The sequence below is a fragment of the Homo sapiens genome, chromosome 3, assembly GCF_000001405.40.
Source record: "Homo sapiens chromosome 3, GRCh38.p14 Primary Assembly".
Lineage (NCBI taxonomy): Eukaryota > Metazoa > Chordata > Mammalia > Primates > Hominidae > Homo > Homo sapiens.
The window spans coordinates 16,287,964-16,312,019 of record NC_000003.12 but is presented as its reverse complement, the minus strand read 5'-3'; the positions used below and the strand labels follow the sequence as shown (position 1 = coordinate 16,312,019).

Here is a 24,056-nt window from a genome sequence, read left to right as displayed (position 1 = left end):
CCCTCCAGCAGAGGAAGCCAGGCTACGGGAGAGACCTGTGCATTTATGTGGGGATGAGGGGATCAAATGATTTGTTAAACAGATACACATTTTAAAATTCCTACACAACTGTGCTAGGTGCTGAGAAGACAGCAATGCAGAAGGGCCTCGTGAACCATGGTAAGGATTCTGGTCCTTGTTGTAAGGCTTAATAGGAGGCCACTGATGACATCAGATTTGCATTTTTTTAAAACGTCTTTCTGGCTGCTGAATGAGGAAAATGCAGGGATCCCAGAGATGCTGCAGAGGCTAGTGCTTTAGTCTAGGTGGGGGCTGCTGGCTTGAATCTTAGCAAAGAAGGGGATAGATTTGAGAGTTATTCAGAAGCAAAAGTGACTGGATTTTGCAAATGATTGGGGAATGAGGGAGGTATTGAAGCTACCAACCCTGTCCTTATCAAAGGCATTTCCTCAGAGTAATAAATACTCCAGTGATATTGCCTGGAACTTTTCCAGAACCTCTTGCATGGATTAGTTTTCAGAGTTTGACACATTCAACATTAGACAAAGTCACTAAAAGTGAAGTCTTTATACCTTTCTTAACACCCAAAGAGGCCAGGTCAAGAGTTCAAGACCAGCCTGGCCAACATGGTGAAACCCTGTCTCTATTAAAAATACAAAAATTAGGCGTGGTGGCATGTGCCTGTAATCCCCAGCTACTCGGGAAGCTGAGGCAGGACAATCACTTGAACCCGGGAGGCAGATAGTTGCAGTGAGCTGAGATCATGCCACTGCACTCCAGCCTAGGTGACAGAGCAAGACTCCGTTTGAAAAAAATATATAAAATATATAATATTTTTAAAAAAAGACCCAAAGAACTACATCTTTCTTTTTGGGAGGGAGGGAGGGAGTTGTGTGGCAACAGAAAGCAGCAGCTCTTGGGGAGGTGCCATGGTATGCATGTGGGAGTACAAAGGGAACCAACTGTCTTGGTTCTGACGGGCAGAGTGGGAATTCTCCCAGATGATTTTTTTTTTTTTTTTTTTTTTTGGAGACTGAGTTTCGCTCTTGTTGCCCAGGCTGGAGTGCAATGGCACAATTTCGGCTCACCACAACCTCCACCTCCCAGGTTCAAGCAATTCTCTTGCCTCAGCCTGCCGAGTAGCTGGGATTACAGGCATGCACCACCACGCCCGGCTAATTTTTACATTATTAGTAAAGACAGTGTTTCTCCATGTTGGTCAGGCTGGTCTTGAACTCCCGACCTCAGGTGATTTGCCCACCTTGGCCTCCCAAAGTGCTGAGATTACAGGCGTGAGTCACCGCGCCCAGCCCCAAATGATTTCTAATGGTAATGTTGGCAATTCCAGCAAAGCCCTGAGCCAGGAATTGGTGGAGAACCACCCTGGTTGTCAACTGTAGGGACTGGGTCTTGAAGAAAGAGTAGAGATATTCATTCATCCAGAGACAGTTTTAAAACATGATCCCATGTTGCTGACTGGCTTTTCATCCTTTAATGTGGTAAAACTTGTGTATTTAAATGTGTTGCTCACTAGTCATTAAGTTCAGTTTGGATTTGGATTTTTCTGTGGCCTCTAAATAATATAAAGGCTTAAAGATAGTAAGAAATATATTTCACTTATTAGGGTGAGCATTAAAATGCTTCCTATAATGGACCTCTGATTTCATGAACCTTCAGTCCTGGGTACCTCCTATCTTGTTGATTGTTCAATGAAAAAAAAACAAGAGAATCAACTTAGAAGAAAGAACAACTAGCAAACTTACCAGTTTCTAGGTCCACAAAATGCGTAAGTTAATAACTGTCTAAAACACTTCCTTTTTATGAACCTGGGGAACTATCAATCCAGTCCCTGTCTCAGTCAAGTACACCTTAAGCCCCAATGGGCAAATGTCAGTTTTATTTCTTACTAACGGTAATTCCACTATTTCTCTTGAGCCCTGACTCCAGAATTTAATCAGCAGTATAGTCCAAAAGTCCCCTGTATCAAACCAAACTTTTCCCTTGCTTCAGTCCAAGACAATGTCTTCTTATTCTGTCAACCCCAGAGATACAAACAATAGTCATCCCAAGAATCAATCAAATATTTGAAGAGAGTTAAGATACTCCTTAGACATCTCTCAGTACAGTCAACCTTGATCTCTAAGGCCCATTTTTCTATCATGAAATTATAGAAAGGTAAAGCTGAAAGCAATTTTAAATTGCATAGTCCTACCCACAGCGACAGATAAGGAAAGCAGGTTTCAGAGAGAGGTGGAATGAGTCACACAGGAAACAAGTTGTAGAATGGGCATGATTTAGGTCTCTTGAAGCCTGGTGTCATGTTCCTCCCACCATCCCACACAGCCAACCAATCTGCCTCATTTTTTGTTTCTTCTCTCTGGGCTTCTATAGTCTCTAAGACAGACAGGCCTACGGAACAATCAGAAAATTCAATCAGAAAATTGTTAGTTAAAAAAATCACCTTTCATCTAACTGATTAGGGGAAAAGACAGACAGGCCTACGGAACAATCAGAAAATTCAATCAGAAAATTGTTAGTTAAAAAAATCACCTTTCATCTAACTGATTAGGGGAAAAAAAATACTTAAGTATGAGACTGAGGGTATCTAATGTTGGCTAGAAATGGGCACTTTCATACCCTGTTAGAATATAAACTGATTAGGCATTTTATAGGGTAACTTGGTAATACTAGTCAATTTTTTATTCAGAAATGGCACTTCTAGTAATTCTACAGGAGTATGTGCAGAAAAATTATACAAACAGGTTTACTGCAATATTGCTTGTAATAGCCAAAAACTCCAAACAATTTAAATGTCCATCATGGAGATATGGTTAAGTATATTATGGTATATAGCAAGAATTTGAAGTGTATTAAAAGAAAGAGAGACATAGTTGTATAGGTACCCACAGTTGTATATGTATACAAGATTAATATACCATAAAATTTCTAAAAGGATACCCAGCAAGTTTTTTATACAGAAGTTCCTTCTAGGCAAGGGAATAGGATGGGGGAGAAGAGAACGTCAGCATTTTAATCTATATAATTTTATTTAATATTTGTGGTCACATTTATTAGGTAATTAAAAAATTATTTAACAATTTTTGGTCATATTTATTAGGTAATTAATTTTTAAAAAGGAAGAGATAAAATCTTGTTATGCTCAAATATAGCAAAATAGGACATGGGGATGAGCTGGAAGGGGCCAGGTTAGGCTGATGAGCTCCTGCAGGTTTTAAGAATTCAGAACAGACCATATGAAGATGGCTGCTCAACAACTATAAAAGTTTGGATTTCTGGGCACGAAACATTTTAAAATGCATGCCTTGATTTTATGGCACATTAGGAGGTATCTACATGTCATCACCACACTGCTAGCTTATTGTATGTTAAGAAAGAGTAATATTAAAGACCAGACATCTCACTGTTTAAGATGAGAACAGTATACTTCTTTTGAGTTTTAAAATAAAATAAGATGAAATAACGGCTCTCAGGTTAAATTATCAGATCATCTGCAATAACCAGGAATGGAGGAAATTGCTGTTTTCCATTCAGACAGGAAAAAAAAAATAGGAGCAACAAGACATGCCCTTGGATCATTTGACAATCACTGCATCCACACGTGTTTGTGCTGTGAGTCCCATATAACAATCCTCCTACCCTCCAGAGCATGGGTGCAGCCTTTCCCACTCTGCTACCCCTGGGCCCCTAAGATCCATCATTCCAGTGACTCACCCAGTCATCCATTTGCTATAGCTTCTCTTTCAAACAGTGATAGGTGCAAAAAAATATGTTGCCCCAGAGCATTTCCACTTTCAATTTTGTCGAAATGTTCTCAATGTGTTACTCAGTTATTTCCAGAAGATACCTTTATCACTTAGACTTACAAAAAAATAGTTTCCCAAAGTATTTAACTTGCTCCTAAGATAACCTTTGTCTTATACGTTCCTATCTTCAATGTCTAGCTCAGTGACCGCACATAGCAGATGCTCAATAAATGACATCATCCTCTAGAAGAAGGTGTCACTTCCCTAACTGAGTCCCACTGAATTACTCTTCCATGGTTTTTCATACAATCAGGCTGTTATTTCACTCCTCTTAAAAAAACAGAACAAACTGTGCTTTAATAGTACTGTACCAATTTAGCTGTACTGTTCATTCCCTAGTTTTGATAAATATACCACAACTACGTTAAACATTTGGGAAAGCTGGATGAAGGATATAGAGGAACCCTGTCTTGTCTTTGCAACTCTTCTGTAAATCTAAAATTACTTCAAAACAAAAAGTTTAAAAAATAAAACAACCCAATGAGAACAATAAATGTTCTCTTGACCCCACTTCCCTTTCCAGCTACCATTCCATCTTTTTTCTTCTCTTTATAGTAAATTTCTTTAAAACTATTATCTATATTCATTATAATTGATTTCCTCTCAATTACTCCTAAACCTATTTCACTGTTTTCACTCCCACCATCCGTCTTATCAAGATCACCAATGACTGGACCAGTTGCCAAATCAATAGCCACTCAATGATCACTCATCAGACCTCATCTTTCCTGTCCTATTAGCAGCATGACACAGCTAGCCAATCCATCCTCTATGAAACACTTTCTTCATGAGGCTTCTTAACACCACACTCATCTCCTTTTCCTCCTACCTGTTTATTAGAGAACTTTTTGCACGTTAAGAGCCCCGAACCTCATCAACCATCATGATTGAGTGTGAACCACTGACACAGCAGGGGCGACCTAAAACAAGCTGAACATCAAAAAATTGACTGTAATGGATGAAAACAATCAAATGTATAAAAAGCCATGAGTTCATAATGATACTTTAAATAATCTCACTGGTCGTCTAAAGGTTGCTAAGGCACCAACTCATAGTATGCTAACTGATAAATGAAAGAAATCAAGCATCAATACTGCCATTTCTTTACAGACTCATTTCAGGGGAATCAAAGCTGATGAGGGAAAGTTCTATATGGAACAATCACAGACAATATATACAGGAAGAATAACAGAAATGGATAATTAATCCTTAATGAAAAAATAGCTATCAGCAATGATCAATGGCTGCTAAAACAATTAGGTGAAAGTTTGATGAAGACCATTATATTGGATGAATCAGGCTGACAAATGCTGAAACCACTGATCCATCTTAACAGCATTAAAAGTGGGACAGACATTATATGCCTCATGTGATGCCACAGGAAGCACACCACTTTATAATACAGGCTTGCAAAAAAAAAATCTTGAATCCGAATATAAACAAGTTCTAAATCTAATTACCAGTTTACATGAAATACAGAGGAGAGAGGATCAAGCAACACCCTGAGGATACAATAGGCCAGGTTCAAAATGTGGGAAAGCCTACAGAACAAATAAGTCAGTTTCTTTAACAAATGAATCATGGGGGAAAAAAAGTGTCCATGTATATGTGTAGGGGGTGTAAGGAGTGTGCCATTAATTAATTAAAATAAAAGACATTAACCTAATGCAATATTCGGACTTTTGAGGCCATGAGGAAACAACACAGAAGGGTCTTAGAGGATATTAAGGAATCATTGTCACTTGTGTTAGGTATGATGATGACATTGTGGTTGTGCTGAGGTGATGTATCTGTTAGAAATATATACTGAAGAATTTAGAAGTGACACGATACAATTGCTAGGCTTTGCTTGAAAACACACCAGCAAGAAGAACACCCCCACAAAGAAGCTGAGGGCTGACAAAAACAGAATGCTGCTAGTCATGGAAGCCGGGTGATGGATGCACGAGAAGTCATTTTACTATCTCTACTTTGTCATATGTTTGAAAAAATATAAATAAAATCTGAGAAAGATACAAATATCAGACTAACCTAGTCCCTTGAGTAGGCTGGGAAAGGGTCTTATGTCAAAAGAAGAAACATTTTTTCAAACTCATAGAGCCAGAGGATCCTTAAGAAGTCACTTTAATCCAGCTTATCAACTCTGAGCATATTAACAAATATTTATGAAATACCTATTTTGTGCCTGGCACAGCAATAAACAAGACAGACGCACACCCACATGAAGGTTTCAAGTTAGACCACATCTAAGGCATCCAGCCTCTTGAAATCCTTTCTGAATAGGACAAGGAATAGCAAATTAATAACGACAACACACTCATGCAGTGCTCTGCCAAGCACTTTACATGTATGATCACCTTCAATCCCCGTAACAGCCCTATCATGTAGGTAGGTAGGCAGCAGTATCATCTCCCTTTTACATGTAGTTGTATGTAATTTTAAATGAGGCATAGAGCAGTTAAGTGACTTGCTCAAGGTCATCTACCTAGTAAGTAGTATAGGTGAGATCTGAACCCAGGCAATCTGGCTCAAGGGCTTTCGAGCCTATACTCTGAGCCACCGCACTATGAATTCCAAGCCACTCTGGCTGGAGTTAGCTCAATTTAAGTACCAAAAAGATCTGGACAGGCCTGGCAGGCAAGAGCAAGAGGACATTCTCGGCTAGACCTGAAAATGTTCTTCAGCACTTAGCACCAGAATAATGGCACTGAAAGGATGAACACTCCAGGCAAAGGTGATGACCTGGCCCATCTCAGCAATTCTGCCAATACTGAGTCAGCAACAGGGTGGCAGGCATAGCTGGGCAGGACAGATGACCCTTGCTCTCTGACAGTAGCAGGCACACAGCCAGCCGTGGTGCTGGCTAAACCGAGACAGTGGGCGACACCTCCCTATCTTCCCATCCCATGCTGCACTGGAGATGCTCACTTTGCACCTCCACTCCTAATGCAGAGAGGTCTGGGTTAGGTACTTTCCGCATACCTTTAGGTGTCCTCCCCCGCAGACTGCCTTCACCAGTTAGTAGACGTGCCCCTTGATAATCCCACATCCTTGCATCTCATCATGCTCCTATGCCCTCAGCCTGGGCACTTTGGGGCCAACTGGTAAGTCAGGGCTCCTTGTAGTGATCCAGAGCTTCACATATTCCCTTCACCTCTGAGGTACTAATGACCATTTCCTTGAATGGATTATGATATTCCCATCAGGTCAGTAGCTCCTCCCTTCCTCCCCAAATTCAAATCTGGGATCAAAATAGTTGACAAATGATCTCTGCTTAAAACTTGACAAAACTCAAAACTGGGCAGAAGCTAGAGTCACCTTCAGGTCCCATGAATCATATCTGTTCAAGCCCACAAGTCCCTGGGAGGCCTGCAACAACAAAGATAAGAAAGGGTAACCTGTCTTCTCTCATCCGCTCCAGAACAGAATCTCAACTGGAGCTCCTAGGTCTCCAGCACTTATCTGTCCTTCTTCCCAGGCTCCCTTCACCCTCCTGTGATCTCTATGCAGGCAACCTTGGGCCCAGGACTACTTGTCATAAAAGGAATGGCCTGGCCTCAGTCAGGACTTCTTTTGGATTTTTAAAAATCTAAACAAAGAACTACAATCTGCTTTCTAGCAGTTTCATCAGAGCAGCTTTGGGATGAGGCTCCACCATTCTTTCTATCCACTCTAGGGGACTGCCTCCCAATCTCAGACTTAGCAAGGAGTTAAAACATTAGTTGCTTTCTTTCAGTCATTCAACAACTATATGTTAAGGAGCTGCTGGTGCCAAGAACAATTCTGGCAAATGAGTGAAATAAAAAGTAGAAAAGCAGGATTTAGAAACAGCTCTCTACCCCCTAATCAATGCTAAGCACATTTCCATAGCAAGCCAGCCCAGGCACTGAAGGCAGATTCAACATGGAACACATCACCAATGCCTTTGTCCCAAGCAAGAAGCTGCCTCCTACAGCGTTAAGGCAGACAGCCAAGACACAGAAAGGGTTTCATTTGAGAAGAAACTAACAATTAGTCAGGATACACACTTAGGATATTCATTAACAAGAAAGCAAATATGCTGGATATTTAACTCCCTAAAGCAGTTTTCCTAACAATTTTCCATGTCCAAACTTAACTTTGATGGACCAAATAAGACTGTAGGCCATGGTACAGTAAACAAAGGCATTAAATAAAAAGAATTTTCAAAGTAAAATTATTAAGATTGTATTTAAATTATACTTTCATTAAACATAAGATATATAGATGGCTGTCAAATAATTTAAAGCTAGCCCACATTTTATACTCAAAAATCACATTTTCCTATGATTAGACATAAGTATATATCTTTTTTTTGCCTAAAGACAAAAGAAAAATCTATACTGACCAATCATGGTACATCATGAGACAATTAAATCGTTGTTAATAACAGAAAATCAGTATAGTAAAAAATAGTTTGATCACTGAGGTCTTTGCAAAAAGTTTATCATTTAAGTCTGCCAGCTGGCTTTTATTATCCAGCTGGTCACTAAGTTTATAGCCTTAAAAAATAAGACAACTCAAGTAGAGATAAAAAAAATTAATCATGCCACAAAGGACAGGAGCTCTCCTGAGTAGATCTCACCTCTTTATTTTTTCTGCCTTTGTCTGCCTCCTACCACCACTTCTCAAAGCAAATGTGTTCTTTGGGTACATGGTTGTTTTCCAGTTGCTTGGAGAAAAAGTCTGTCATTGGAGGTGGGCCACAAATATAGAACAAAGTCTCTTTTGAAATATGATCTCTTATCTCCTTCTCCGTTATTCTTCCTTCTACCAAAAACCAGAATAAACACCAAATTAAGCCAGACATGGTTGTATCAGCAAATGAGGAAGGACTAACCACAATTCAGATACAGTGTTTATTTCCAAGTTCAGTGAGTCTAGTCTTCTTAAGCCATTCACAGTATGGCTCCTATTGGCATCTGGGCCCAGACCCAAGCAGAGTGCATCTCCAGGCTTCCTAAACCTAAGCAAGCAAAGTGGGAAGCTCATCGTAATGCACTCTGCAGAAAGGGCCAGCTAGCTTACTGGTCTTTGATGGAGATACAAATTGCCTTCAGCAAAGGAAGTAACTGTTTTATAAAAATCCTTTCAGAGGAAATTATGAGTTGTTTAAATGACCATTAATGGCAAATGGAATCAATTCAGCCAAATCTGGAATATAAATTATTTGTATGGACACTACAGTGATGATGCAAAGGCCTCTTAAAAAGTGTGAAAAGTACACTTTTAACACAGGCAATAGGAAACCTGTATATAATGAGTAAACCCAACTAAATATCCATTTTTCCATGAGGAATCATCCCAATTCCCCAGATAGTGACATTCCCAGCCAGCAGCTTCCAACAATAAAGCATCTACGCTCAACCAACTGGTGTGTCCATCAAATAACTGCATGGAGATAGTCAAAATATCTTTAGGGGACTCACCCGTGATGTATGGCTTGAGTTCCGCATTGATTTGTGTAGTCTGTTTTGTAACATGCAAACTGCATGCAATCTTCTCAGGAAATTCATTTACTAAATCAAGGATATTTTTCTGGAATGTCAAACATATTTGGTCACACTACAATTTTAAAAAATCAAAACAGATGTGCACAACCATTGACGCTGAACCTCAACTCCCATTCTGCACACGTCTGCCGCTCTCGCTCTCTACTTAGAGAGATATTGTTTGCAGCCTAGCAGGCCAGAGCATTCAGACTACAGAGGGCTATTTGGCTTTAATTGAAATCTGAATATGCTAACAAGCATATTACCAACTCTCCGGGAGTTTTTTCTTTTTCCTTTTTCTCAAGCATTGGCAATTAAGCAGCAGTTTCACTGACCACAGTTGTGTCTTTTAACTGTTTCTGTTCTTTTGTTCATTCCTGCAGCTGCAAAGCAATCCCCAGTGAAAGCTTTCTTCATCAAATGCACTTAGTTTAAACAGATGCAACTGACAGGGGTTTCATTTACCCAGCTGGGTCCAAACTGTCTAAGTCTTACCTACTCCTGTGATACACTAGTCCACTGTAGGTCTCTTGACTGGAATCTCGGGACCCTTGTGACTTTTCTGTTCATTTAACCTCCAGATTCCATCCCACCAAAACCTACCCTTTCCTGTCACCTAACTGCTAGCCTCTTCAACACTAGCAGTTTTACTTGTCTTGGGTAAGGTGTGTTGGTTAGTTCTCATTTAAGCATGATTAAATCTTGCCAAGCCTTTTGTTTGAACCTTTGCAGAGAAAACAAAACCTAGAGAAAAAACTTTCATGAACAATTAATACCACTACACAAGTTTGCTTACAGCAAGCTATACCTCCCTTACCTTAAACAGGAGTTCGCTGGTATTTTTTGCACTGTAGAATAGTTTTATTGTTCCTATCTCATATCCATTTCTTTTGTTTGCCTGCTCTCTGAGGAGATCTGCTGCGTGCCGCAGGATGGAAAGCAGAGGGTTAATTCCGACTCCTCCTGCAATCAACACGAGGTTTCTAGAGGCATCCGCAGGCTGAGGGTCAAAGAAGAACTCTCCACCCACTCTCACAGCCACTTCACAGTCAAGTGTACACTAAGGCAGGAAAGAAAAGACCTTTTAGTCTTTTGTAGCAAAGGTCTTAAACCAAATGTTCTACTTTAATAAAACTGGGTCTATCTCCTGTATTATCAGTATTTAAGACTATTTTTATAGCTTGCTCCCAATTTTCCCGATGCCCTGTGAATTGATTCCACTTGCTCATTTTATAGGCCACAGGCTAATCCACCTTCGTAATCCATAATGAACAGCCATTCCAATACTGAGAAAAGGAGATGTGCTTCAGTGATTTCACCATTTGTTAACTTCTTAGGCGATGAACTGGATTGAGGAAAGAGGCAATGGACTCAAAGGCAGGGTACAGCTCTGAAGTATGGGTCTCCTTTATCTGAGTTGTGTTCCTGTGTTCTAACCAAAGCTGAGAGAAACAGGATGTGGCAAATGTCACTAGACTGCCTGCCCTGGGTTCATCAAGGCTGAAAAGTGTAAGTACTGGTGCTCCTTCTTGATCCTCAGTAAGGCACAGCCAGACCAGCTCTACAGGCTTAGACCAGCCCTGTAGTACTGTTCAGTGCTGTTCCTGTCTCCCTAGAGAAACAAGAACAGGCAGCCAGAGGCTTCATACTAGGGAGTATCACATAGACCTATCTAGATAAAGCACCTATTTGGTGAGGTCACTTATGCCCGTAATACCATCAGAGTTGAATGTACTGTTTTTCTCAGTGGGGGTGCTACTGCTTCTGATGAAGGTGTTTGGGAAACTTGTGATGACATTTTTTATTGTCACAATGATTTGGGGAATCCAACTGGCATTTAAAGGGCAGGGCCAGAGATGCTAGAGATCCTACAAAATTCGTGGTTTCCCAGAGCTGGCTCCTACTAAGCTGGTGGTCAAATCTACAGGAATTTTGTGAGAAAGTTCCTACTGGTAGTTTGAAATCAGCCATTGTAGGAGTACTTACAGCACAGAAATCAGCAAATGATACAACTCAGATAAATTCAGACAGCTGGTTTGCCAGCACACCATTATCTACAATGCACAAGACTGTCCTGCACAATGACTTGTGAATGGCCCAAAAGACGTTCTTGTAGGTGAAAACTGGTTTATAATGATCTGAGACTAGACTCTAGCTCATTTTACAAATAAACTCAGTAGCCACAGTGTAGATTACACTTTGTTGTGTTCAGAACTTAACCAAGCATGTTCACTGTTCTGGAAAACCACATTCCACTTAGTGACATGTGTCACCCACACAACACATCTTTATCATCTGCATTTGTAGACAGTGTATTCACGGTGATTCTATGTTTAGGAATAGCCATCTGATTACTTCATTCTATCTTCCAGTTAGATCTGCCTAACCATTTATATTTTAAAATACATACTCTTTGATTATGGATCACTTTCTTTTATTTCTCCTTTGTATTAGTTAGAGAATTATGTTATTTAAAAAAAAACCTATGGGTACATTACATTAACTATGACTTTCATTTCAGGACAGTTCTAGAAAGGAGCATTGGATCTGACCGAGTTGGTAATCCCTTGTTTGGAAAAAAACCACTGATCTAGGAGTCAAAAGACTGAATTTTAATCATAGCCCCTATGAAATCCAGCAAGTCCCTTAAATTCTGAGCCTCATCTGCCACCCCTGGAAAATGGGTACCAGCACCTGCACTGCCCACCTCACAGGGTTGGTGTGAACATGAACTGACTCACAGTGGGTGGAACTCCCGAGTATCTGGCTCTACATAAGAAGGAATTTTGGTCATTGCAGCTGTCACAAAAGAAAAAGTGCTGGCAATACCAGCTTCCTTCTTCCCTGTCACTAAAAAACAGATTCTAGGAATAAAGAAACTTGTATTAAGAGCATAGGTTTCTCCCATTACACGTTCCTGGCATAAATCAACTAAATGAATGCCCTCCTAAGAAGTAATAACACATCGCGTGCTTTTTGAGAACCAAACCCTTAGCATTCACACCTTGGCACCTTGCATGTCAGGTGAGCAGTAGGTACTTCTGGACATGAATTTAATTTGGTCTCTGCAAGTTAAAGTTGAGTTAAATTTAGAGAAGATCTAAGAAAAATGAAAATTATTTGAATTCACAAAAACATGTCTTTTTTGGTAAAGAACTGTTAAATGAATGGATACTCTTTCAGGGGAAAAAATGTCTGAACCTCACTATTTTAAATATGTGGGAGATTTTTACATGAATGGTGATAAGTGGGTTTTCATTTTTGACAAAAGAAATTAGCAGCAAGGGAGCATTCAGTTAGGAATAACTAAAATCTAGGAACTGCTACAGTGGCTACCAAAGTGCTTTAAAATATTCTTTCCTTTCAAGTCTCAAAAATAGAATTTAAGATACAAGAGGCTCTGCCTAACGATGACAATGAATTTCATCTCCTATATCCTCCTTCCCTCCCTCTCTTGCTTGCCTGTGCAGTTCTCTCTTTATCTATAAGAATCAGAGTGAAAGAGACTGAAATAATTTTCTCCAGTGGCCATCTTTGGCATGCTTAGTAATGACAACAAAGAAAGCCTCTAGGTTATTGTTTTTAGAAACCAGAGTATTTTCAACTCTAAAGTTGGCAAGAAAATGTGCCCCAGGGAAAGATAATATTCAAGAAGCCTGTCTTATCCTTGACGACAAAATAATCTTCGGTAGGTCTGTATTCTGATTTGGTAGCATCCGGGAAGAATTAAAAGCCATCTTTGTCTTTTTGTTGATCAATAAAAACTGCGAGGGTAACACGAACACAAGACTCAAAGTACTGTACACTGTAATATGTAAGTGAATAAAAGGACATTACCTTCAATTACACAGCAATGTATCTAATTTTGGTATAGATTTTCTACTTGTGAAATAAACAACCTTTCCACAGCAACTGGAGCTGAGCACACAATAGCTGTCTAGAACCCTTTACCCTGCCAAGAGCTTGAGCCAAAGCAGATAAAATAAAGGAAGACGTTTATGGCACTTTATTCCATGTCTCAACGGTGCAGCCTGCTGCCACCCAGACACTCACGTGCCTCCATTGTCCACTCGAATGGCTTAATAAGACAAATCCTCAGGAGGAAAATAGCCACCTGAAAATGATTCCAAGAAAAATCTGACTTCATAAAGGCTGTTTGCAACTCCCACTGGGCAGAGTAGAGCAGGCACTACAATTAGGATGTGCATTCAGGCAATAACACTTTGAGATTTTCTACAGCCTGTAAGAATAAGTTTCTTCACTGAAATGCCAATGAGGCATGAAACCAAGCAGGAAGCTGTGGACCAGGACCAGGCCAGGTCGCGTGAGAAGCTAAGGATAACAGGGAGGATGGGGAGATGTTCATGGCACTAGGAACTGGGATGGCTATGCTTATTTCAACTCTGAGCAAGGGGCATGCAGATACCTCGTTGCTCTCACCCCAGCAGCATATTTTAGCACCTCTAGGAGCAACCTAGAGCCAGTAATGAGGGGAAAATCCAGAGACTCCAAAAAGCAATGAGGCAGCTGAGGCCACACTGACGGAGAGACTCAGAAGGTTGCAGGGTAAAAATGTGACAGGATACATTTACAATGGAAATGCCTACACAGGCATCTGGGGGTTATCCTGGACAGACACAACTTGACGTGTAAACCACAAGAATATATTATGTTGCTCCTGCACATTTTTAAAAACTTATTTTAAAAATTTCCTTAATAGAAATCTTTTTCTTTTGGTATACGGTTCTATGAATTTTAACACACATATAGATCTGGGTAACAATCATCAAAATCAAAACATATATTAGTTCCATCACCCCCTGAAAATATTCCCCTGTGCTATCGATCCTACCTTTACAGTAATCTCAACCCCAGTCAACCACTGGTTTCCCATCATTATATCTTTGTCTTCCAGAATGTGACAAAAATGGGATTTTACAGTATGTAACCTTTTGGGACTGCCTCCTTGCACTCAACAGAATGCCTCTGAGATTCACCCACATTGCTGCATGCATCAATAATTCATCTCTTTAATAGTCCCTTGTATGACTATATCACAAGTTATCCATTCACCTGCTGAGGGACATTTGGGTTGTTTCTAGAAGTTTTTAATAATTATGAATAGAACTGCTATAAATATTCATGTTATGCTTTTATATAAACATAGCCTTCATTTCTCTAAGACACTCAGAAGTGGTATTGCTGGGTCATATGTTAGGTGTATGTTTAACTTTATAGAAAACTGCTAAAATGCTTTCCAGATCGGCTGTACTATTTTGCATTCCCACTAGCAATATAAGCAATATATGAGAGTTCCAGTTGCTCCACATCCTTGCCAACGCTTGGTATTGTCAATATTTTTAATTTTAGACATTAGACTAGATCGTAGTGGCATCCCACCACATATGGTTTTAATTTACATTTCCCTCAGGGTTAACGATGTTTCAATACCTTTCATTGCTTATTTGCCATCATCATATCCTTTTTTACTGAAGTGTCTGTTCAATCCTTTGTCCATTTAAAAAAATCATGTTGCTTGTTTCTTTTTGTTGACTTTTGAGATTTCTTTATATATTCTAGATTCAAGCCCTTTGTTAGATATCTGATTTGTAAATATTTTCTCCTAGTCTGTAGCTTGTTTTTAAATTGTGTTAAATGCCTTTTGTAGAAAAAGTTTTACTTTTGACCATGTCCTATCATCAACCTTTTTTTTGATGGATCTTGCTTTTGGTATTGTGTTTAAGAATTTTACCTACCCTCAAGTTCCAAATATCCCATTTTCTTCTAGAACTTTTATAGTACCATGTTTTACATTTAGATCTACAATCCGTTTTGAGTTAATTCTGAATATAAAGTATGAGGTTTAGGTTTAGGTTGAAGGTTTTTGGTTTTTCGTTTTTTTGTTTTTTGCATCTAGATGCAAAATTGTTCCAGAACTTTTGTTGAAAAGTTTATCCTTTTGCCTTTCAATTTTTCCATTGAATCTACCACCTTTGTCAAAAATAAAGTGACCATATATGTCAGTCTATTTCTGAACTCTTCATTCTGTAACATTATTTGATGTGTTTCTCTCCTTTCACCAATACCATACTGTTTTGAATGCTGTAGCTTTATCTTAAATTTGATTAAGGTGATTCTTCTCACTTTATTCTTCTTTTTCAAAATTGTTTTAGCTATCCTAGGTCCTTTTTTGTTCCATATAAATTTTAAAATCACTTTGTCCATATCTATAAAAAATCCTGTTGAGATTTTGATTATTGTTATGTTAAATCTGTAAATCAATTTAAGGAGAACTGACTTCTTTACTATGTTGAGTTTTCCAATCTATGAACACAGTACATCTCTCTATTTACTCATGTCTTCTTTGATTTCTTTCATGGGATTGAAATGAACTGTGCTTTTTTTTGGACTATTTGCAAGAGGGTCCTACATTGGGGGATGGGCCAGAGAGTATCCTAAGCTAGCTGGTTTTCACAACATAAAAGCTCTCTTCAGCTACTACAGGACATATTAGTTCCTACAAACATGATTTGCCTGTGTGATTCTTTGCGTGCCTTCTCTCCTAACTGAACCTTGCTGCGTTCAGGTGGGCCTTCTACAGCCACAAAACGCAACTGTGTTTCCATACCCTCTTTGCAGGCAAGAGCTGTAAGTCCCACCCCACTCCCTCATGTATTTTTGTTGGTGCTCTATGAAATTTGCTACTCGGCCTCTCTCCTCTACTTATTTCCATGTGGCTCCTACAGAAACCCAAAAATTCTCTGCAACCTTTAAAAATATACTACAGTGTGTTTCCAAGTTTTGCTGAAAATAGAGGTTTTGTTTTCTTTTTCCTTCATTGATTTTCAATGATTTCCAGGAAACAGGAAAATGCTGTTTTTGAAGCCATATTTATACTGGTATGTGTTTTTGGTAAAGAAGGTAAGAAAATGCCTGGTTGGGATGGAGGTTGTTGGTAAATATAGAAGACACTCTTGCAATGAAGAGGAAGTGAAAGGAAAAGGAAAAGAATAGAAAAAGCAATAAGTGAAAAGGATAGAAGGGTCAAAAACTAAGACAACGAGTAACTGATCTGTTCTGAGCTCATTCTTTGTTATCAGAGTTCTAGTAGGTAATGACAGGCAGCTTCTGTAGGATTGTGTTGAGCCCTGTGGTGAAATAAGAGTTATTAACAGCAATCAAATTGGATTCTCTCTCAGAATCCCGAGTGAAGAGCTTTCCAGACACTGAAATAGAGAGGCAATGGCACCGTGGATTTAGCTGTGCTCACCTCTGGGAAGAAGCAGTACTATGTAATCAGATAGTTTCCCCTCCAAAAATGACAGAATAATAATTTAATTCCCTTTATTTAGGATGGTTAGGACAAAATAATCTGATTTATAGATTTACCATTTACATGACACAGAGAGCCAACTTTTTAGAACTTGTCTAAAATATAAAATATTTTAATTCTAAAGCAGTATTCAACTGAATACCGTTTGGTGACCCAGAAAATACTTCCAGATCCCAAAGTCTCTGACTCATACTTAATGCATCAAAGTTTCTTTGACCTTTCTTAGAAGCTCTTTCTGGGCATGTACCCTTTTACTCAAGCCCAGGTTTCTTAGGTGAATCAAATGAGCTTAACACAAATTTTGTGGGTGGCAGAGATACCCAGATCATCGCGTTTAAACAGGCAGTGTGCTTACCGTATTGTGAACCCAGAGGGCAGGAGGGTGGTTCGTATATTTCACTGCCAATTCTATCACTCTCTCTTGTTCTAGCAGTCTGGGACTGGAGCATATTGAAAACCCACCAACCACAGAGACTCCTGGAATAAAGAAATCAACCCTAAAAAGAAAGCCAAATAAATGATTATTGTTGAAGCAATTTTAAAAATTGGTAAATTAAACAGAATTGACAAACCTTTGCAAGACTATGAAAAAAAATTACTAAAATCAAGAATAAAAGAGGAGATATCATCACAAAGCTTATAGAAATAAAAAGAATTATAAAGGAATTCCATGAACAACTATATGCCAAAAAATTAGCTAACTTACATGAAATGCACACATTCCTAAAATGACATAAACTACCAAATCTGACTCAAGAAGAAAGAAAATCTGAGCAGACCCATAACAAGTTAAAGGATTGAGTTAATAATTTTAAAACTTCCCACAAAGAAAAGCTCAGGCCCAGGCCAGTCGCAGTGGCTCACGCCTGTAATCCCAGCACTTTGGGAGGCCAAAGCAGGTGGATCCCCTGAGGTCAGGAGTTTGAGACCAACCTGACCAACAGGGTGAAACCCCGTCTCTACTAAAAAAAAAATACAAAATATTAGCCAGGCGTAGGGACGCATGCCTGTAATCCCAGCTACTTGGGAAGCTGAGGCAGAAGAATCACCTGAACCTGGGAGGTGGATGTTGCAGTGAGCCAAGATTGCGCCACTGCACTCCAGCCTGGGCAACAAGAGCGAAACTTCATGTCAAGAAAAAAAAAAAAAAGAAAGGCTCAGGTCCAGATGGCATCCTGTTAAGTTCTATCAGACATTTAAAAATTAATACAAATCCTTCAAAATCTATTCCAAAAACAGAAGAGAACACTTCTCGACTCATTTTATGAGGCCAGTATTACCCTCATACCAAAGCCAGACAAAGACATTGAAAGAAAACTATAGACCAGTATCCCTTCTGAATTTAGGTACAAAAATTCCAGGAATACAAGGTTGGTTTAACATCTGAAAATAAATAAATGTAATACACCACTCAGTAGAATAAATGACAAAACCCACATGATCATCTCAATAGTCAAGAAAAGACATTTGACAAAATCCAACACTTTTTCATAACAAAAATACTCAACAAATTAGGAATAATTGGGAACTTTCTCAACCTGATAAAGGGCACCTACAAAAGACCCATAGCTAACATCCTACTTAATGGTGAAATGCTGAAAGTTTCCCCCCTAAGAGAAACAAGATTAGGATGTCTACTTTCACCACTCCAACTCAACATTGTACTAGAGGTTCTAGCCAAAGTGAGTAAACAAGAAAATGAAATAAAACGTGATCAGAACAACTAACATCCTACTTAATGGTGAAAGGCTGAAAGTTTCCCCCCTAAGAGAAACAAGATAAGGATGTCTACTTTTACCACTCCAACTCAACACTGTCCTAGAGGTTCTAGCCAAAGTAAGTAAACAAGAAAATGAAATAAAAGGCATTCAGATTGCAGAGGTGGAAGCTGCAGATGGTATGCTGTCATATATAGAAAATACTAATGTATTCACTAAAAAGATATTAGAACTAATAAATTCAAATAAGTTTGCAGGATACAAGATCAACAGACAAAAATCAACTGTATCTCTATACACTAGCAACGAACAATCCAAATGTGAAATTTAGAAAACCAATTACACTTATAATAGCATAAAAAAGAATAAAATAATTGGGAATAAATTTAACAAAATAAGTGTAAGACTTACACAGTAAAAACTACAAAACACCATTGGAAAAAAATTAAAGATCTAAGTAAATGGAAGCATATTCCATGTTCATGGCATGGCAGACTTAAATATTGCTAAGATGGCAATACTCCTCAAATTGATCCACAGATTCAATGCAATACTTACTAAAACCCCAGGTGTTTTCATTGTAGAAATTGACAAGTTGATCATAAAATTCATATGGAAATTTGAGGAACCCATAATCATCAAAACAATCTTGAAAAAGAAGTTTACATTTGTAGGACTCACAGGTCCTGATTTCAAAAGTTACTACAAAGCTACAGTAATGAAAATGCTGTTGTACTGACATAAGGACAGACATGTAGATCAATGGAAAAGAACGGAATGTCCAGAAATAAAGCCTTAAATTCATGGTGAATTGATTTTAGACAAGGCTGCCAAAGCAATTTAATGGCAAAAGAACAGTCTACTCAACAGTGGCACTGGGAGAACTGAATAACCACATACAAAGAATGAATTTGGACCCCTATTTCACAACATATACAAAAATTAAGTCAAAACAGAGCAGAAACTTAAATGTAAGAGCTAAAATTATAAACTCTTAGAATAAAACACAGGAGTAAGACTTCATGGCAATGGCTTCTTAGATATGACCCCAAACCAAAAGGGTTGGAAAAAAAATAGAGAAACAGATTTCATCAAAATTTAAAACTCTGTGCTACAAATGTTATCATCAAGAAAGTCAGGGCCAGGCACAGTGGCTCATGCCTATACAAATCCCAGCACTTTGGGAGGCCGAGGTGGGTGGATCACCTGAGGTCAGGAGTTCGAGACCAGCTTGGCCAACATGGTAAAACCCCGTATCTACTAAAAATAAAAAAATTAGCTGGGCATGGTGGCAGATGCACCTGTAGTCCCAGCTACTTGGGAGGCTGAGGTAGGAGAATCACTCGAACCCAGGAGCAGAGGTAGCACTGAATCGAGATCGTGCCACTGCGCTCCAGCCTGGGCGACAGAGTGAGACTCCATTTCAAAAAAAAAAAAAAAAAGTTAAGAAGACAATCTACATAATGGGAAAAATATTTTTAAATAATATATCTATTAATATTAAGGTTCTTGTATTCAGATTATATAAAGAACTCTTACAACTCAGTAATAAAGAGACAACCAAATAAAAAACTGACAAAATACTTTAAATTAATATTTCTTCAAAGAAGACATATAAATGGCTAATAAGCACATGAAGAGATGTTCAACATCAATAGTCATTAGGGCAATGTAAGTCAAAATCATAATGAGCTGGCAGTTCACACCCACGTGGATGGCTATAATCAAAGAGACAAACAATAGTGTTAGGGTCTGGAGAAATTGGAACATTTATACATTGCTGGTGGGAATGTAAAATGGCACAGCCACTCTAGAAAACAATTTAATAGTGCCTGAAAATGTTAGTTAGTTAGCATATGACCCAACAATTCCATGCCTAGGTTTAGACCTAAGACAGGTGAAACTGTATGTTCACTCAAAAACTTGTACATGAATGTTCATGGCAGCATTATTCACAATAGCCCCAAAGTGGAAACAATGTAAATGTCCATCAGCTAATGAAGATATAAACAAAATGTGGCATATCCATACAATGGAATGAAGTACTGATACAGGCTACAACATAGATGAACCCTGAAATCATGTTAAGTGAAAGAAGCCAATCACAAAAAGACCACACACTGTATTGTATGATTCTGCTGGTATAAAATGTCTATAAGAGACAAATCCATAGAGACAAAATAGATTAGTGGTCATCTAAGCCGGGCAGGAGGATAGGGAATGAATAAGAATCATTACAGAGTTTCTTTCTGGGATAAAAATGTTCTAAATGTGATTGTGCTGATAGCTGCACAACTCTGTTAATATACTAAAACCTCTGAATTGTACACTTTAAATGTTTGAATTTTATATGAATATATCTCAACATAACAGTCTTTTTAAGTTTTAAAAAGTATGAAAAAAGGGTCAAGAAAAGCAACAAAAACTCTCCCACTAGTATTTGACAGACTTAATAGGCCGATATGGCCTCTGAGTTACACAAGTCTTAACGTTTCCTTCTTTTCTTCTAACCACATCCTGTAGTCTAGAACTCCTGGGTTTCAAGCTTTCAATAATTCTATGCCACAGAAACCCTTTTTTGGTGAGGATTCTAGGAAATGCAATAAACCTAGTCACATACCAAGAAAAATGTATTGGAACACAGAACCACAAAAAATTCTCATCCCCATATCTGGGAAACATAAACATCCAATCTAGGTGTTTCACAGCCATCACAAGAGCAAAAAGTATCATCCTTCCCCAGTTGCTTACCTACATACAGGCCTAAAAGAAAAGCAAAAGATGTTCTCTAATCTGATCTATGACCTTAAAAAAATATTCTCCTGCAGTCTATGGCCTTACATTTCCAGTCATTTATTATAAGTGTTTAAAAACCAGTTCTGGATTGGAAGTGCTCCAGAAAAGGTCTTTGGCCAACTTTAACCTATTTTCACTTGACTCTTTTCCATGAGTACTTTAACTTTCTTTTCATTTCTGACAAGATAAAAATTTAAAAGACTATCGTTAGCATTTGTTAACACAGTTGCTATATGCTATCACAGAGGAGGTATACAAAAATCTCCATTATTTCCATGTTTAAAAAATAAATACATTAATAAGCTACTTTTGCTGCTTCATCTCCTGAACTACAGTGCCCTCTGCTGCTCAATGCTGATGAAGGCCATTCTCTCAGTTGAATGAAAGGGAACCAACCCTCTTCTCTAGTAACTCTGGAAAGCTACCTTTGGAAAAAAAGGACTCCTTCATTAAAAAATACAGAAGAATTTAAGTTACATAAAAACTTCATCTGAATGGATTTAAGAAAATATGCACAATACATATTTCATAAAACATCTGTCCAAGAAAGAATTATACCTTAAACACACACCTTTAAAAATGTCCTTTGCAGGATGAGCACTCTTGGAGCCATGAGTTAAAGCCCTTACTATATACCCAATGAGTGAGTGTATGCAGAAGGAGCCTAGGTGCGCGGTGAAGCAGTGGATGTCCACATCCAACCATGACACACCAGGCAGCCAGGTCCTGTCCACAAAGGGAGCCCCAGTGCCAAGCACACAGCAGCTATACTATGAGATCCCAGAACTCTTTAGTCCTTGCCTACAGTTCTCAGAGCCCCTCACTCATTCACTTAATGCAAACATCTAAGAGAGCACCTGCCTACCATATACAGGCACTGTGGTACTTGCTGGAGGTACAAAGATGCACATATGTCTTAGTTGCTGCCCTCAATGAACCCACTCTAAGAGGAGGAAAATTAACAAATACATACAATTAAATGGGCAATGATAAAATCTGCTTAGCGTAGCGAGGCAAGGCAGAGGAAGGAGGAGTCAATTCTACCAGGAGTACAGGAATTAAGAAAGACTTCACAGAAGAGATGCCCTTTAAACAGTCTTAAAAGACACACAATGCTTACCAGATGAGTAATGGGGGAGGACACAGTTTGAAAAAGATGCCAAGGAATACAGTGCTATGTTATGTGCAGTCCTGTGAGAATCAGGGCTGCCACACATGCTTGTGTAGGTTGCAAGGATATTATCTATCTACAGTGTGGCAGCCCTGCTCAAGGGTAGGTATAAAGTCTTATTTCTCTAATCTTGCTCCTCCAGTGTTTCTTCTTGGTGTCCTCTTTCTCTCAGCAGGGCTCAAAGTTGCTTTCTAGCATCTAAACTTATGTTATCTTGTAGAAAGTCAGACACACTAGGACCAGGAATTCCCTCCACTCTGTGAAAATGCTTTGGCCTTACTTCCCCTCAGGAGGCAAGCTATACCCAGCCAAGTGTGGATTGAGTACTGACTGGGGCATCAGTGGTGACATGGTGGTGATAAGCCCCCACTCCTGCCTGGCCTGCCACTCTTCCAATCAACAGCTTCAGTGCAGGGAAACTGACCAAGGAGATAAGAATTGGAATCTGTCCCCTGGGCCTTATCAGCACATATGATCTAACTGAATGAAATACTTATTAGCAATAACAAAAGCTAAAATCAAACAAATGAAGTTAACAGTAGGCATTATGCTAAACACTTTAAATATCCCAAAACGTAGGAATACTACTGCTCCCTCTTTGAAGATATGAGAACTGAAGCCCAGACAAATAAGGAAACTGACCACATCACAGAGCTGGCTGGTAGAAAGCAAGCATGTGAGCTGAGCAGTCTCCAGGGCACTAGGCGACAATACACTGCTACCCACAGTAGCATAACCAATGCCAGAGGCAGGCAGTGAGCACCACAGCCAAATGTGAATCTAGAAACTCAGGGCAGCTGCACACTGTGTGAGGACCAGTGGTGGCATGCTCCAGACCCAAGAGTGAGTGCCAAGCTTTCCACCCCAAGGGAGGAGGAATTCTGGTCAAGGGCAGGCCTCACCAAGGAGCTAGCAAGTGGTAGGCCTACTAGTAAGATGAACCAAGAAGTTCAACCCTGCTCATGTGAGAGATGTTTTGAGGTGGTTCTGCCTTTGGCCTTTCTCTCGGGATTGGATTGCTACAGTTCTTGGAACTGGTTTATTGCTACAGGAACCAGCCCTCTCTGCAAGGCCCAGTAAGAATACAGTGTAGTGCAAAAAGAGCCCCTTGAGGCCTATATCTGATCTATGCTGAAGGTGTCTACATGGGGATCTGTGGCCAAAGCTCCAGCTAGTCACAGACAACATTCATTTATTTAGTTAGAGTTGTGCCTGGAACCTCATTCTCAGAGTTTGGTAGGTGTCAGAGGAAGCCACTGGTCAAAAATTCAGAGATGTGGAATCACGGCCCAATCTCTTACCCCAAAGATAAGCCCAACAGCAACCCTCTCCTTGATTTCTAGCAGCTCTCCAGTCTGATAATCCTACCTACACAAACTGCATGGCAGCCACATCCTCACTTCCTATCCCTAATCCTTGCCCTCTTCTCCAAAGTACCACATGGCTGTTACTACCAAGCTGATGGTCTGAGACAGCCTAGAGCACAAAGCCATTCAAGCAACAGCATGGAAGGGACAGACACCGCCAACCTCAGCAAAATGGCCATTCTGTGACCATAAGGTCAAATATCAAAAGGAACTCACAACCCCTAGAACCATAAATCAATGGTAAGGGTAAAATTTGTTGAAAGAGGAGGGCCCAGGGGCCTGGAATGAATGCTGATCAACACCTGGGAGGGAAAGCGTCACACACTACCAGCCAGTG

The 24,056-nt window shown here is 39.3% G+C and overlaps 1 protein-coding gene and 1 long non-coding RNA gene across 21 annotated transcripts in view, besides 3 other annotated features; one reads left to right on the top strand and one right to left on the bottom strand.

The window, feature by feature from the left end:
• Positions 1 to 24,056, bottom strand: part of OXNAD1 (oxidoreductase NAD binding domain containing 1) — an 86,884-nt gene that overhangs the window by 40,076 nt on the left and 22,752 nt on the right. For 17 of the 20 annotated variants that reach the window (NR_199631.1, NR_148220.2, XR_007095766.1 and 14 more), the window contains 4 exons: positions 17,023 to 17,164; positions 10,152 to 10,394; positions 9,272 to 9,380; positions 8,428 to 8,612 (listed from right to left, as the gene is read on the bottom strand). Coding sequence is in view for 13 of the 20 variants with exons in the window: in XM_011534230.4 (XP_011532532.1) it covers positions 8,458 to 8,612; positions 9,272 to 9,380; positions 10,152 to 10,394; positions 17,023 to 17,164 (649 nt within the window). In the remaining 7 variants the exon portion in view is untranslated. Of the gene's footprint in view, positions 1 to 5,932; positions 8,613 to 9,271; positions 9,381 to 10,151; positions 10,395 to 17,022; positions 17,165 to 24,056 lie in introns of those variants that run through there. The other 3 variants (NM_001330670.3, NM_001352980.2, NM_138381.5) reach the window with 1 other exon arrangement.
• Positions 9,345 to 9,924: an enhancer, noted in NCBI's record as "OCT4-NANOG hESC enhancer chr3:16343603-16344182 (GRCh37/hg19 assembly coordinates)". NCBI's record gives its function as "activates a minimal SCP1, AML or CMV promoter by ChIP-STARR-seq in naive H9 embryonic stem cells {active_cell/tissue: H9 hESC(naive)}" and the evidence as "EXISTENCE:reporter gene assay evidence [ECO:0000049][PMID:30033119]".
• Positions 9,925 to 10,506: an enhancer, noted in NCBI's record as "OCT4-NANOG hESC enhancer chr3:16343021-16343602 (GRCh37/hg19 assembly coordinates)". NCBI's record gives its function as "activates a minimal SCP1, AML or CMV promoter by ChIP-STARR-seq in primed H9 embryonic stem cells {active_cell/tissue: H9 hESC(primed)}" and the evidence as "EXISTENCE:reporter gene assay evidence [ECO:0000049][PMID:30033119]".
• LOC107986065 (uncharacterized) lies at positions 10,389 to 15,362 on the top strand. The gene is made up of 2 exons (XR_001740608.2): positions 10,389 to 10,843; positions 11,856 to 15,362. It is a non-coding gene; the product is annotated as an uncharacterized LOC107986065 (long non-coding RNA).
• Positions 10,912 to 11,031: a silencer, noted in NCBI's record as "silent region_14114". NCBI's record gives its function as "represses an Ori minimal core promoter by ATAC-STARR-seq in GM12878 lymphoblastoid cells {active_cell/tissue: GM12878}" and the evidence as "EXISTENCE:reporter gene assay evidence [ECO:0000049][PMID:35858748]".